Source organism: Homo sapiens, chromosome 3, assembly GCF_000001405.40.
Source record: "Homo sapiens chromosome 3, GRCh38.p14 Primary Assembly".
NCBI classification, from domain to species: Eukaryota; Metazoa; Chordata; class Mammalia; order Primates; family Hominidae; genus Homo; species Homo sapiens.
In genome coordinates this window covers 125,626,419-125,643,432 of record NC_000003.12, presented here as the reverse complement: position 1 = coordinate 125,643,432, position 17,014 = coordinate 125,626,419, and the positions used below count along the sequence as shown (strand labels likewise).

Here is a 17,014-nt window from a genome sequence, read left to right as displayed (position 1 = left end):
TCTCTCTTGCTTTGCTTCATTAAGCCCTAAGATCAGTAGCTTGTGAAACAATTTCACATGTATCAGTTCCAGGTCTTCCCCCAAGGCTGATAAGATTTAATAAAACTAGTTTATTACGCTACAAAGGCCTCAGTATTTGTCTCCACCAGGCCCCTGTAATTAACTATTGTGCCCTTCATAAATCTTGGGATTAACAGGACTTTTGCTGTTCACCCCATGACAGTGTTGATTCACTGAAAGCTTTTTTTTTTTTTTTTTTTTGAGAGTCTTGCTCTGTCACCCAGGCTGAAGTGCAGTGGCACGATCTCAGCTCACTGCAGCCTCAACCTTCCAGGTTCAAGCGATTGTCCTGCCTCAGCCTCCTGAGTAGCTGGGACTACAGGCGAGCATCACCATACCTGGTTAATTTTGGTACTTTTAGTAGAGATGGGGGTTTCACCATGTTGGCCAGGCTGGTTTCGAACTCTGGTCCTCAAGTGATCCGCCTGCCTCTGCCTCCCAAAGTGCTGGGATTACACACGTGAGCCACTGAGCCCAGCTGAAAGCTCTTTTTTTCCTGGCAAAAAGTTCATGGTTTATTTATTTATTTATTTTACTCTTTTAAAAAATTGCAGGCTGGGAAACATAGTGAGACCTTGTCTCTACGAAAGAATAAAAAAGTTGGACAGCACATGATGGCTAATGCCTGTAATCCCAACAGTTTGAGAGGCCAAGGTGAGCTAATCACTTGAGGTCAGGAGTTCAAGACCAGCCTGGGCAACATGGTGAAACCCCGTCTCTACCAAAAACACAAAAAATACCCAGGTGTGGTGGCACGTGCCTGTAATTCAAGCTACTTGGGAGGCTGAGGCAGGAGGATCACTTGTACTCAGAAGGCCGAGGCTGCAGTGAGCTGAGATTGCACCATTGTACTCCAACCTCAGCAACAGAGACCCTGTCTCAAAAAATAAAAAAAGAAAAAGAAAAAAAAGATGTAAAATATATATAATATAAAAGTCACCATTTCAATAATATTCTTTTCTTTTTTTTTTTTTTAGACAGGATTTCACTCTGTTACCCAGGCTGAAGTGCAATGATATGATCGTAGCTCACTGCAACTGCAACTTCAAGCAGTCCTCCCCCGTCAGCCTCCCAAGTAGCTAGGATTACAGGTGTACACCATCACTGCACCCAGACAATTTTTTAAAACTTTTTTGTAGAGATGAGGTCTTGCCATGTTGCCCAGGCTGGTCTCACACTCCTGGCCTCAAGCCATCCTCCTGCCTCAGCCTCCCAAAGTGTTGAGATTACAGGCACTAGCCACCATGCCCAGCCAACCATCTGGTTCAGTGGCATTAATTACCTTTACCATGTTGTGCAACAATCACCACTATCTATTTCCAAACATTTTCATCACCCTAGACAGAAACTGTGTAGGCATTAAGCAATAATTCTCCATTCTCTCTTCTCTGCATGCCTTGGTAATCTCTATTCTACTTTTTGTTTCTGTAAATTTGTATACTCCAGATATTTCATGTCAGGCCTCTGAGCCCAAGCTAAGCCATCATATCCCCTGAAGCAATTGAAGATCCACGAAAGAAGTGAAAATAGCCTTAACTGATGACATTCCACCATTGTGATTTGTTTCTGCCCCACCCTAACTGATCAATGTACTTTGTAATCTCCCCCACCCTTAAGAAGGTTCTTTGTAATCTCCCCCACACTTAAGAAGGTTCTTTGTAATTCACCCCACCATTGAGAATGTACTTTGTGAGATCCACCCCCTGCCCACAAAACATTGCTCCTAACTCCACTGCCTATCCCAAAACCTATAAGAACTAATGATAATCCCACCACCCTTTGCTGACTCCTTTTTTGGACTCAGCCTACCTGCACCCAGGTGCAATAAACAGCCTTGTTGCTCACACAAAGCCTGTTGGTGGACTCTCTTCACACGGACGCGTGTGACATTTCACAAGTGGAATTATACAGCATTTGTTGTTTTGTGTTCGACTTCTTTCACTTAGCATAATGTTTTCAAGATTCATCTGACTTAGCATGTGGCACAACTGCATTCTATTATATGACTATACAATATCCCATTGTATGCATATATCACATTTTATTTACATTCATCTGTTGATGGACACATGAGTTGTATCCACCTTTTGGCTATTGTGAATAATGCTGCTGTGAACACTGGTGTATAAATATCTGTTTGAGTCTCTGATTCCAGTTCTCTTAGGTATACACCTAGGAGTGGAATTGCTGGGTCATATGATAACTCTATGTTTAACTTTTTTTTGTCTTAAGACTTTATTTTATTTATTTTTGTAATTATTATTATTTGTAATTATTTTATTTTAGATTCAGGTGGTACATGTGCAGGATTGTTACATGGGTATACTGTGTGACACCGAGGCTTGGGCCTAATGATCCCATTGCCCAAGCAGTGAACATAGTACCCAGTAGTTAGTTTTGCAGCCCTTCCCCCACACCTTTGGAATCTCCAGTGTGTGTTGTTCCCATATTTGTGTACATGTGTATTCAATATTTGGCTTCCACTTGTGAGAACATGTGATATTTGGTTTTCTGTTTCTGCTTTAATTCACTTAGGATAATGGCCTCCAGCTGCATCCATGCTGCGGCAAAGGAAATAATTTCACCCTTTTTTATAGCTGTGTAGTATTCTATGCTGTATATATAACCACATTTTCTTTATCAAGTCCACTGTTGATGGATACCTGGGTTGATTCCCTGTCTTTTTCTTTTTCTTTTTCTTTTTTTTTTTGAAATGGAGTCTTGCTCTGTCACTAGGCTGGAGTGCAGTGGTGCCATCTTGGCTCAGTGCAACCTCCGTCTCCCTGGTTCAAGCGATTCTCCTGCCTTATCCTCATGAGTAGCTGGGATTACAGCCAGGCACCACCACACCCAGCTAATTTTTGTATTTTTAGTAGAGAAGTGGTTTCACTATGCCGGCCAGGCTGGTCTCAAACTCCTGACCTCAGGTGATCTGCCTGACTCAGCCTTCCAAAGTGCTGGGATTACAGGAGTGAACCACCACACCTGGCATTTTTTAGTTTAGTTTTGTTGTTGTTTTTGAAACAGGGTCTCACTTTGTCACCCAGGCTGGAGTGCAGTGGCGCGATCTCAACTCACTGCAGCCTCGACCTCCCAGGTTCAAGTGATCCTCCTGTACCCAAGTAGGTGGGAATACAGGTGTGCACTGCCACGCCTGGCTATTTTTTGTACTTTTACTTTGTAGAAATGGGGTTTTGCCATGTTGCCCAAGCTGGTCTCAAACTCCTAAGCTCAAGCGATCCGCCTGCCTTGGCCTCCCAAAGTGTTAGGATTACAGATATGAGCCTCTGTGCCTGGCCTGACTCCATGTCTTTGCTGTTATGAATAGTGCTACAATAAACATGCGAATGCAGGTGTTTTTTGGTAGAATGATTTAGCTTCCTTTGAGTATACACACGTAATGGGACTGCTGGGTCAAATGGTAAATCTTTTTTTAGTTATTTGAGAAATCTCCAGACTGTTTTCCATAAGGGCTGAACTAATTTGCATTCCCACCAACAGTGTAAAAATGTTCTTTTTTCCTCCAAAACCTCACCATCATCTGTTATTTTTTGACTTTTTAATAATAGCTCTTCTAACTGGTATGAGATGGTATCTCATTGTAGCTTTGATTTGCATCTCACTGATGATTAGTGATCTGAGCACTTTTTATAAGTTTCTTGGCCACTTGTTTTTTGTTGTTGTTTTGTTTGTTTATTTTGAGACAGAGTCTCTCTCTGTCGCCCAGGGGGGAGTCCCGTGGCCTGATCTTGGCTTACTGCAACCTCTGCCTTCTGGGTTCAAGCAATTCTCCCACCTCAGCCTCCCTAGTAGCTGGGATTACAGGCTTGCACCACCACACCTGGCTAATTTTTGTATATTTTGTAGAGATGGGGTTTCGCTGTGTTGCCTAGGCTGGTCTTGAACTCCTGAGTTCAAGCGATCCACCTGCTATGAACTCCCGAACTGTTAGGATTACAGATGTGAGCCACTGTGCCCAGCCTGACTCCAAGTCTTTGCTATTATGAATAGTGCTGCAATAAACATATGAGTGCAATGTTTTTTGGTAGAATGATTTATTTTCCTTTGAGTATATACACAGTAATGGGATTGCTGAGTCAAATGGTAAATTTTTTTTAGTTATTTGAGAAATCTCCAGACTGCTTTCCATAAGGGCTGTACTAATTTGCATTCCCACCAAATAATAGCCATTCTGACAGAAATGAGATGGTATCTCATTGTAGCTTTGATCTGCATCTCACCGATGATTAGTGATCTGAACATTTATTATGTTTGTTGAACTTTTTTTTTTTTGAGACAGAGTCTTGCTCTGTCTCCCAGGCCAGAGTGCAGCGGGACATTCTCGGCTCACTGCAACCTCCACCTCCCAGGCTCAAGTGATCCTCCCACCTCAGCCTCCCACGTTGCTGGGATCACAGGACTGTGCCACCACGCCTAGCTATTTTTTGTATTTTAGTAGAGACAAGGTTTTGTTATGTTGACCAGGATGGAACACTTTACTAGACACTTGTATGTGTTCTTTTGGGAAGTGTCTATTCATGTTTTTTGCCTACTTTTTAATGGGTTTTTTTTCTTGTTGATTTGTTTAAGTTCCTTATAGATTCTGGATATTAGTCTTTTGCTGAATGCATAGTTTGCAAATGGTTTCTTCCATTCTGTAGGTTATCTGTTTACTCTGTTGATTGTTTCTTTTGCTGTGCAGAAGCTCTTTAGTTTACTTAGGTTCCAACTGTCAATTTTTGTTTTCGTTGCATTTGCTTTTGAGGACTTAGTCATAAATTCTTTGCCTAGGCCAATGTCTAGAAGAGTATTTCCTAGGTTTTCTTTTAGGATTTTTTACTTTTAAGTCTTACAGTTAAGTTTTTAATCCATCTTGAGATAATTTGTGTACATAGTGAGAGGTTGGGGTCCAGTTTCATTCGGCACATGGCTAGCCAGTTTTCTCAGCACCATTTATTGAAAAAGGTATCCTTTCCCATTGTTTATTTGTGTTGACTTTGTAGATCAGTTGGTTGTAGGTGTGTAAGTTTATTCCAGGGGTCTCTATTCTGTTCCATTAGTTTTGCTTAGGATTGTCTTGGCTATTCAGGCTCTTTTATTGTTCCATATGAATTTTAGAATTTTTTTTCTGATTCTATGAAAAATGACATTGGTAATTTGATAGGAATAGCATTGAATCAGTAGATTGCTTTGGGCAGGATAGAGATTCTATATGTTTAACTTTTTGAGAAACAACCAAACTGTTTTCCACAATGACTGCACTATTTTACATTCCCACCAACCATATACGAGGGTTCCAATGTCTTCACATCCTCACCAACACATATTTTTATTTTTTATGCTTTGTTTTTTGTTTTTGAGATGGAGTCTCGCCCTGTTGCTCAAGCTGGAGTACACTGGTGTGATCTTGGCTCACTGCATCCTCCGTCTCCCTGGTTCAAGCGGTTCTCCTGCCTCAGCCTCCTGAGTAGCTGGGACTACAGGTGTGCACCAACACGCCCAGCTAATTTTTGTATTTTTAGTAGAGACGGGGTTTTGTCATGTTTGCCAAGCTGGTCTTGAACTCCTTACCTCAGGTGATACACCCGCCTCAGCCTCCCAAAGTGCTGGGATCACAAGCATGAACCATTGCACCTGGCCTTATTTTTATTTTTCAAATATAACATCCTAGTATGTTGGGAGCAAGCCCCCCAAAATCTGGCCTTAAACTGACCCCAAAACTGGCCATAAACAAAATCTCTGCAGCACTGTGACATGTTCATAATGGCCCTAATGCCCAAGCTGGAAGGGGAATGAGGGTAAGGAACACCAGGCCCGCCCAGGGCGGAAAACCACGTAAAGGATTTCTTAAGCCACAAACAATAGCATGAGCAATTTATGCCTTAAGGGCATGTTCCTGTTGCAGTTAACTAGCCCAACCTATCCTTTAATTTGGCCCATGCGTTTGTTTCCCATAAGGGATACTTTTAGTTAATTTAATATCTATAGAAACAATGCTAATGACTGGTTTGCTGTTAAGGCTGTGAGACCCCTGATTTCCTACTTCACACCTCTATATTTCTGTGTGTGTGTCTTTAATTCCTCTAGCACCCCTGGGTTAGGGTCTCCCCGACCAAGCTGGTCTCGGCACTAGTAGGTGTGAAATAATTTCTTAATTGTGTGCTGTTGTTTTTTTTCTGAGACAAGGTCTCACTCTGTTGCCCAGGCTGGAGTGCAGTGCTTGCTGAAGCACTGACCTCCCAGGATCATCCCAGGATCAAGCAATCCTCCCTCATCAGCCTCCTGAGTAGCTGAGACCACAGGCATGCACCATCATGCCAGCTAATTTTTTAACTTTTTGTAGAGATAGGGTCTCGCCATGTTGCCCAGGCTGGTCTCTAACTCATGGGCTCAAGCAATCCTCTTGCCTTGGCATCGCGATTATTGGGATTTTGGTTTGTATTTCCCTAATGACTAATGAAATTGAGCATCTTTTCATGTGTTTATTGGTCATTTGTTTAATCATCTTTAGAAAATATCTATTCAAGACATTTGCCCATTTTTAACTAGGTAGTTTGCAGTTCATTTTTAACTTAGAGTTTTGGAAGCCTCACCACTGTAGGTTAGTCAGCCTGCACATTTTTTCTTTTCCATTTTATTTCTTTTTGAGACAGCATGAACCATGACACCCAGCCTCAGTCTGTACTTTTAAGAATTTATTTACAACCTAGAGTTCCATTCAACCTTAGATGGCAGACTCTAGTGGCAAGGGTGGTGCCTTTTTAAATTCAGGACCAGGCCAGGCATGGTGGCTTACTCCTGTAATCCCAGCACTTTGGGAGGCCAAGGCAGGTGGATCACTTGAGGTCAGGAGTTCGAGACCAGCCTGGCCAATATGGTGAAAACCCGTCTCTACCAAAAATACAAAAATTAGATGGGCATGGTGGCACGTGCCTGTAATCCCAGCTACTCTGGAGTCTGAGGCAGGAGAATCGCTTGAGCCTGGGAGGCAGACGTTGCAGTGAGCTGAGATCATGCCACTGCACTCCAGCCTGGGCTACAGAGCGAGGCCCTGTCTAAAAATAATACTAATAATAACAATAATAAATTCAAGACCAAATGGAGAAGCAGATTGCTCAACCACGGAACTGGTCCTTCCCAGTTCCATCACATTTTAGGATAGAGCAATCAAAAACTAAAATGAAAATGAAAACAAATGAAAGCAGAGGATAAGATTTTTAGTTTAGTTTACTATTCCTCACTCATTAGTTTAACAAAGGTTTTTGTTTTTGCTTTTGTTTTTTGAGATAGAGTCTTGCTCTGTCACCCAGGCTGGAGTCAAGTGGTTCAGTCTCGGCTCACTACAACCTTCACCTCCCGGGTTTAAGTGATTCTCCTGCCTCAGCCTCCTGAGTAGCTGGGATTATAGATGTGCATCACCACGCCTGGCTGATTATTGTATTTTTAGTAGAGTTGGGGTCTTGCCATATTGGCCAGGCTGGTCTCGAACTCTTGATCTCATGTGATCTGCCAGCCTCAGCCTCCCAAAGTGCTGGGATTACAGGCATGAGCCACTGCACCTGGCCAAAGCTTTAAGTTAGTACCTTTACATTGTTTTAAGCACTAAGCTGGGGTATTTTGTCACAACAGCAATAGGAAACTAATACAGTTTCTCATCACCTTTATAAAGCACCCTGCGGTATTGGCAGCAGCCCTCAGAGGACCAGGGTCTGACTGTGTGCTGGGTCCACAGAAGCTGCGTGGCTTGGGGCAACAGACTGTGTCATGCTGAGACTCACCCATGTGTAGCAAATGGGGACAGCAATGTTTGCCTCAAAAAGCTGTGAGAATTAGAGATAAACTGTGTCAAACAGCCGTGAGATAGTAGGCTCTTAGTAAGGGGAAGCTATGTTTACTATGATCTGTGTCATCACTATTTATTTACTTATTTTTCAAACACTTTTCTTAGCCTGGGAAACATGGTGAGGCCCCATCTCTACTAAAAGTAAAAAAATTTTAAAAAAAATTACCCGGTCCTGGTGGTGCACAGCTGTGATCCCAGCTATTGGGAGGCTGAGGCTGAGGTGGGAGGATCACTTGACCCTGGGTGGAGGGGGGGGCGGAGGCTGCAGTGAGCCAAGATCATGCCACTGCACTCCAGCCTGGGTGACAGAGAAAGACTCTGCCTAAAATACATACATACATACGTACATACATACATACACACATACATAAAATGCTTTTCTTTAACTAGGAAGTGGATGGCAGACAGGGACCTCGTTTAGAATCAGGATGCAGGGAGGGAAAGGGATCACAGGATGCCATGGAGGAGGAATAAGCTCTATTCTAGGGAGCAAGGCAGCGGCCCTGGCTGCCCTCCCTCTCCCCTTTCCCCTTTCTCCACCAAGCTCCTCAACCATTAGCTACCACACTCAGGAATTCTCCCTGCCCCATCTTCCTTCTCCCCACCAAGCCCTGCGTTTTCTCTGTCTAAACCCACCCATAAGCCAGGGGTTTTGTTTCTCCTTCTCCATCATGATTCAGGTCTCTTTGGTTATATTTGCTTGTGTTTGGTCATTCTGGCCTTCCTTGTGCAACATAGATGTCCAGTCTAGATTGGTCTTGAGTCCTCGGTCACACACTGTAGTGAAGTGTGTCTTTGCTCATGTTAGGCTGGGCCCCAGAAACCACTTCTGCACTGTGTACCTCATTTCCCATGGCTGTAAGGAGTTCATTGGCTTAGGCTGGACACCTTACGCAAGCCAGGAATTGGGATTTGTGACCTAGACAGCCCCACTCTGAACTGGTTGGAACCATACACTCCCTCAGGAGTGTTCACCAGCTATATTCCATCAGGTGAGGGGGAGGGAGGAGACAAGAACCAGCAGGCATCTAGGGAAATGGCTCAGTGGTTTCGTGGTTCCCTGATGCAATGTAGCCCCCACCAGCCCCCACCTCCCCACCTCCCTTTTTTTTTTTTTTTTTTTGGAGCTCTGTCACCCAGGCTAGAGTGCAGTGGTGCAAACACAGCTCACTGAGGCCTCACCCTCCCGGTCTCAAGCAATCCTCTCACCTCAGCCTCCCAAATAGCTGGGACTACAGGCACACACCACCATGCCTGGTTAATTTTGTATTTTGGGTTTTTTATAGAAATGGGGTTTCACCACATTACCCAAGCTGGTTTTAAACTCCTAGGCTCAAGTGATCCACCTGCCTCGGCTTCCCAAAGTGCTGGGATTACAGGTGTGAGCCACTGCACCTGGCTGATTTGTGAGTTCTTATTGTCTGCACTAGGCCAATTCACTAAACCTACCAGATGTTTTCACAGTCAGTATCCTCATAGGAAAGGACCAATGAATTGGGACGGAGACTAGTACATGCTGAGTGCCTGCTTTGGCCAGGCACTTGGCTTCTAGTCATTCCTCACAGTCATCCAATGAGGCAGGTGGTATTTTTCTCATTTGATAGATGAAGAGCCAAGGTTCAGTCAGAGAGGTCAAGTAACCTGCCCAATATCTCACAGGTAAATTGTAGTGGATTCCTTCTCATTCTAGAGCTCGCCTTAAAATTAAAATAAAGGCCAGGAGCTGTGGCTCATGCCTGTAATCCCAGCACTTGGGGAGGCCAAGGTCAGCCTGGCCAACATGGCGAAACCCCATCTCTACTAAAAATACAAAAATTAGCTGGGTGTGCTGGCATGTGCCTGTAATCCTGCTACTCAGGAGGCTGAGGCAGGAGAATTGCTTGAATCTGGAGGGTGGAGGTTGCAGTGAATGTGGTGCCATGCACCCATAGTCCCAGCTACTAGGGAGGCTGAGGTAGGAGTATCACTCAAGCCTGGTAGTAGTTTGTAGTTGCAGTGAGCTACGATTGCACCACTGCACTCCAGCCTGTCTCAAAAACAACAAGAAACTACAAAGAAAAAAGAAAGGAAGGAAGGAAGGAAAATGTAAAAAAAAAAAAAAATGAGTTTAATTAACACAGGCTACCCATGTTGTAAATGGGAGTTTATTACTAAAATCAGTCTCCCCAGGAACTCAGAGGTCAGGGCTTTTATGGATAATTGGGGCAGAGGTGCTGCTGATTGGTTGGGGATCAAATCATAGGGTGTGGAAAGCAGTCCTTCTGCGCTGAGTCAGCCTCTGAGCAGGGTCAGGAGTCATGAGGCTGGGTGGAGTCAGTCAGTTGCCAGAAAGCAGAAGTCATCTTAAAAGACTGATCATAGGTTCTACAATCATGGTGTCATCTACAGGAGCAATTGGGGAAGTAACAAATCTTGTAACCTCTGGCCACATAACTCTTGAGCAGTAAGGCATTATAGAAAGGCAAACCAGAGAACAATGGCTGATTATAGGTTAACTATGCCTACATTTTAGCAGAATTCAGGCCCCTCGCATAATCCTAATCTTGTAGCCTTTCTTCAGTCTCACAAAGGTGGTTTCAGTCCCTGAACAAGGAGGGGGTCCGTTATAAGGAGGGACTACTATTGTCCTTGCTTCCAAGTTAAACTGTAAACTAAATTCCTCCAAAGGTTAGCTTGGCCTATGCCCAGGAATAAGAGAGGACAGCCAGCCTGTGAGGCTAGAAGCAAGATGGAGTCAGCCATGCTAGGCGTCTTCTATGGTCATAATCTTTGCAAAGGTGGCTTCATAACTGAAGTTGTTAGTCCAGTGCAGCTGACTCGATGGCACTATGGTCACTTAGGAAACACTGTTCTAGAGGTCACTGCAGCCATTCCATGGAGGATGTGGGCTTCAGAGGAATCACCAATGAATACACACTGTCAATATTGTTCCGACTCTTTATCTAGGTAGATACTTGGTCCACTAGGAGATGGCCCAGGGGCCTACCAGAGGAAAAATGATTTTCTGAATTGCAACATGTCTTCCTCTCCCAACCCCCAGAAGATTAGCTATTTTTAACTTTCACCTAAGGATAACTGTCCCCTGTAATCCTTAGATGGTCATCAGTGATTCTTTTCTTCATAGAGCACAGGCTTCAAGGGGAAGAGTATGGGTCTTAGGAAAAGCATGATCACAAGGACTGCCACAATCTAGCTCCTGACTACCACATCTGCCTCAACTCCATGCCTATACTGATTTTGTGTTCCAGTGACTCCAGACTGTTCGTGGACCTACACTCACAATGCTGCTTTATTTTATTTATTTATTTATTTATTTTTTGAGACAGGATCTTGCTCTGTTACCCAACTGAAGTGTAGTGGCATGATCTCAGTTCACTGCAACCTCCCTGGCTCCCAGAATCCTCCCACTTTAGCCTCCTGAGTAGCTGGGACTACAGGCGTGCACCACCATGCCTAGCTAATTTTTGTCATTTTAGTAGAGACGGGGTTTCACCATGTTACCCATTCTGGTCTTGAACTCCTGGGCTCAAGCAATCCTCCTGCCTCAGCTTCCCAGAATGCTGGGATTACAGGTATGAGCCTCCGCACCCTACCTTCATAACGCTGCTTCTCATCTCCAAGCCTCTGCTTGTGCTGTTCCCTCCCCGTGCCCAGGACACATACTCCTACCCTTGTCCAAACATTTTTGAGCAGCTTAATGCTTACTCATCATCCAAGATTCACTTAGGGAGTCATGTCCTCTGGGAGTCTCCTCACTCCTGGGCTGGTCAGATTCCACTATCTGAGCACCCATGATGTTTTTCCTTACAATTATCTCTCATTTACCAAATCAAATTATGAAATCTGTTTAGTGGTCCATGTTTGTCTTTAGACCATGAGCCTTTGAGTACAGAGCTACTTCTCATACATTTCATTATTTCTAGTGCTTATTCCAGTACCTGGCACATACTAGAGGCTCAATAAATGTTTATTTATTTATTCATTTTCAGAGATGGGGTCTTGCTGTATCTCCCAGGCTGAAGTGCAGTGGCACTATCATAGCTCATTGTAGCCTCCAGCTCCTGGGCTCAAGTGATCCTCCTGCCTCAGCCTCCCGAGTAGCTGGGACTACAGGCGCAAGCCACTACACCTGGATAATTTTTGTTTTGTTTTGTTTTTGGGTGGTTTTTTTGTTTTGAGATGGAGTCTCACACTGTCGCCCAGGCTGGAGTGCAATGGTGCAATCTTGGCTCACCACAACCTCTGCCTCCCGGGTTCAAGCGATTCTCCTGCCTCAGCCTTCTGAGTAACTGGGACTACAGGCACTCACCACTACGCCTGGCTAATTTTTGTATTTTTAGTAGAGACGGGGTTTCGCCATGTTGGCCAGGCTGGTCTCAAATTCCTGACCTTGTGATCCGCCCACCTCAGCCTCCCAAAGTGTTGGGATTACAGGCGTGAGCCGCTGCACCTGGCCATTTTTAAAATTTTTTAAGAGACAGAGTCTTACTATCTTGCCTAGGCTGATTCCAAACTTCTGGCCTCAAGCAATCCTCCCACCTTGACCTCCAGGGTATCTGGGATGATAGGCAGGAGCCACTGTCCCCAAAAATAAATGTTTATTAAATGAATGAGATTTAACTGCTTGGGACCTGTGTGACCTTGTCAAATCACTTAACCTTCTGGAGTCTAAGCTTTCTTTATGTGCGCGATAAGGTAATGATACCTCCTCCCTAAGACTGGCATGAGAATAAAATGAGATAATGTATATAAAAGCATTTAGCGTGGCACCTGGCTAATAGGAGATGACCGATAATTTTTTAAGAGCTAAAAGAGGATTCAAGAAGTTATCTCAAAAACGAAATCAAGGTGGAAATTTAAAAATTATTTGAACTGAATGACAGTAATGACACAACCTATCAAAACCTCTGGGATACAGCAAAGGCAGTGCTAAGAGGAGAGTGCATAGCCCTAAACGCCTACATCAAAAAGACTGAAAGAACACAAACTGACATTCTAAGGTCACACCTCAAGGAACTAGAGAAAGAAGAGCAAACCAAATGCAAACCTAGCAGAAGAAAGTAAATAAGCAAGAGCAGAGCAGAACTAAATGGAATTGAAACAAACAAACAAAAAAATACAAAAGATAAATGAAACAAAAAGCTGGTTATTGGAAAAGATAAATAGAATTGATAGACCATTAGCAAGATTAACCAAAAAAAGAAGAGATAAAATCCAAATAACCTCATTAAGAAACAAAACAGGAGACATTACAACTGACACCACTGAAATACAAAAGATCATTCAAGGCTACTATGAACATCTTTATGCACATAAACTAGAAAATCTAGAAGAGATGCATAAATTTCTGGAAAAATACAACCCTCCTAGCTTAAATCAGGAAGAATTAGATAACCCTGAACAGACCAATAACAAGCAGTGAGATTGAAATGGTCATTTAAAAATTACCAACAAAAAAAAAGTCCAGGACCAGATGGATTCACAGCAGAATTATACCAGACATTCAAAAAAGAATTGGTACCAATACTTTGACACTATTCCACAAGATAGAGAAAGAAGGAGCCCTCCCTAATTCATTCTATGAAGCCAGCATCACCCTAATACCAAAACCAGTAAAGGACATAACCAAAAAAGAAAACTACAGACTGATATCCTTGAGGAAACATAGATGCTAAAATCCTTAACAAAATACTAGTTAACCAAATCCAAGAACATATCAAAGCTAAATTGATATTTTAAAAATACTAGCTAATCAACTTCAACAACATATCATATTCATCCCTGGTATGAAACCCTCCATGATCAAGTGGGTTTTATACCAGGGATGCAGGGATGGTTTAACATATGCAAGTCAATAAATGTGATACACCCCATAAACAGAATTAAAAACAAAAATCACATGAGCATCTCAATAGATGCAGAAAAAGCATTCAACAAAATCCAACATCCTTTATGATTAAAATTCTCAATAATCGGCATACAAGGGACATACCTCAATGTAATAAAAGCCATCTATGACAAACCCACAGCCAACATAATACTGAATGAGGAAAAGTTGAAAGCATTCCCTTTGGGAACAGGAACGAGACAAGGATGCCCACTCTTACCACTCCTCTTCAACATAGTACTGGAAGTCCTAGCCAGAGCAATCAGACAAGAGAAAGAAATAAAGAGCACCCAAATTGGTAAAGAGGAAGTCAAACTGTCACTGTTTGCTGATGATATGATAATTTACCTTGAAAACCCTAAGGACACCTCCAGAAAGCTCCTAGAACTGATGAAAGAATTCAGCAAAGTTTCTAGATACAAGATTAATGTACACAAATCAGTAGGTCATCTATACACCAACAGCGACCAAGCAGAGAATCAAATAAAAAACTCAACCCCTTTTAAAATAGCTGCAAAAAAAAAAAAATAAAACACTTAGGAATATACCTAACCAAGGAGGCAAAAGACCTCTACAAGGAAAACTACAAAACACTGCTAAAAAAAAATCACAGATGACACAAACAAATGGAAACACATCCCATGTTCATGGATGGGTAGAATCAATATTGTGAGAATAATTATACTGCCAAACGTAATCTACAAATTCAATGCAATCCCCATCAAAATACCATCATTCTTCACAGAATTAGAAAAAAAAATTATAAAATTCATATGGAACCAAAAAAAGAGCCTGCATAGCCAAAGCAAGACTAAGCAAAAAGAACAAATCTGGAAGTATCACACTACCTGATTTCACACTATACTATAAGGGGATAGTCACCAAAACAGCATGGTATAAAAATAGGCACAAAGACCAATGGAACAGAATTAAGAACCCAGAAATAAACCCAAATCCTTACAGCTAACTGATCTTCAACAAAGCAAATGAAAACGAAGTGGGAAAGGACACCCTTTTCAACAAATGGTGCTGGGAAAATTGACTAGCCACTGTAAGGTCCTCTGAACTGGCCGCACCATGGTCAAGCCATCATGACATTCCCCCGTCCTTGTGATAATGTACTTTGTGATATTCCCCCCTGCCCCCCACCTTGTGAATGTACCTTGTAATATTCCTCCCGACTCTTGGGATAATACATCCTCCCCGCCCTTGTGAATGTACTTTGTAACATCCTCCCCAACCTTGAGAATGTACTTTGTAACATCCATCCCCTGCCAGCAAAAAATTGCTCCTAACTCCACCACCCATCCCAAACCTATAAGAACCAATGATAATCCCACCACCTTTGCTGACTCCTTTCTCAGACTCAACCCACTTGCACCCAGTGAATAAACAGCCTTGTTGCTCACACTAAGCCTGCTCAGGTGGTCTCATACAAATGCCGTAATAGCCACATGTAGGAGAATGAAGCTGGATCCTCATCTCCCACCTTATACAAAAATCAATTCAAGATGGATTAAGGACTTAAATCTAAGACCTGAAACTATAAAAATTCTAGGAGATAACATTGGGAAAACTCTTCTAGACATTGGCTTAGGCAAGTATTTCATGATCAAGAACCCAAAAGCAAGTGCAATAAAAACAAAGATAAATATTTGGGACTTAAAGAGCTTTTGCATGGCAAAAGGAAGAGTCATCAGAGTAAACAGACAACCCACAGAGTGGGAGAAAATCTTCACGATCTATACATCTGACAAAGGAGTAATATCCAGAATCTACAACAAACTCAAATGAATCAGTAAGAAAAAAAAACAATCCGATCAAAAAGTGGGCTAAGTACATGAATAGACAGTTCTCAAAAGAAGATATACAAATGGCCAACAAATGTCAAAAAATGCTCAACATCACTAATGATCAGGGAAATGCAAATCAAAACCACAATGCGATACCATCTTACTTCTGCAAGACTGGTCATGACCAAAAAATCAAAAATCAGTAGATCTTGGCGTGGATGCAGTGATCTGTGTACACTTCCACACTGCTGGTGGGCGTATAAACTATTACAGCCACTATGGAAAACAGTGTGGAGATTCCTTAAAGAACTAAAAGTAGAACTACCATTTGATCCAGCAATGCCACTACTGGGTATCTACCCAGAGGAAAAGAAGTCATTATTCGAAAAAGATACTTGCACACACATGTTTATAGCAGCACAATTCACAATTGCAAAATCGTGGAACCAACCCAATTGCCCATCAATCAACGAACGGTTAAAGAAACTGCGAGATATGTGTGTGTGTGTGTGTGTGTGTGTGTGTGTATGTGTGTATACACACATACACACACACACACACACATATATATATATGATGGAATACTACTCAGCCATAAATGAATTAACAGCATTTGCAGTGACCTGGATGGGACTGGAGGCTATTATTCTAAGTGAAGTAACTCAGGAATGGAAAACCAAACATCATATGTTCTCACTGATAGGTGAGAGCTAAGCTATGAGGATGCAAAGGCATAAGAATGATACAATACCAGCCTGGCCAACATGGTGAAACCTTGTCTCTACTAAAAATACAAAAATTAGCCGGGCATAGTGGCAGGCTTCTATAGTCCCAGCTACTCAGAAGGCGGAGGAGGGAGAATGGTCTGAATCCAGGAGGCAGATGTTGCAGTGAGCCGAGATCACACTACTGTACTCCAACCTGGGCAAGAGAGTGAGACTCTGTCTCAAAAAAAAAAATGATACAATAGACTTTGGGGACTTGGAGGGAAGAACGGCAGGGGGATGAGGAATAAAACACAACAAATATGATGAAGTGTACACTGCTCGGGTGATGGGTGCACCAAAATCTCACAAATCACCACTAAAGAACTTACTCATGTAACCAAATATCATCTCTACCCCAATAACTTATGGAAAAATAAAAATAAATAAATAAATAAATAATAAAAATTTAAAAAAGAAGTTATCTGCTCCAGCCTCCTGCTTTCATCATCATCGAAAAGCATTCAGCCAGTCTCTCATGCTCCAGGTCTTAGGTTGAAAGAAGATGGTAACCGCAAGGTGGCTCCTTCTGGGGATGCATATTAGATTGTGTTTCAGTCCAAAAAACAACCCTCTCAAGGGCAAGGTCTCCAGAGCACATTCTGCCTGGCTATGCCTAAGTAAGTCAGCAAAGTTTGCATATAAAACCAAGTCAAAGGATCCTTTC

General features: G+C 42.6%; 1 annotated feature.

The window, feature by feature from the left end:
- Positions 10,050–10,129: an enhancer, noted in NCBI's record as "active region_20434". NCBI's record gives its function as "activates an Ori minimal core promoter by ATAC-STARR-seq in GM12878 lymphoblastoid cells {active_cell/tissue: GM12878}" and the evidence as "EXISTENCE:reporter gene assay evidence [ECO:0000049][PMID:35858748]".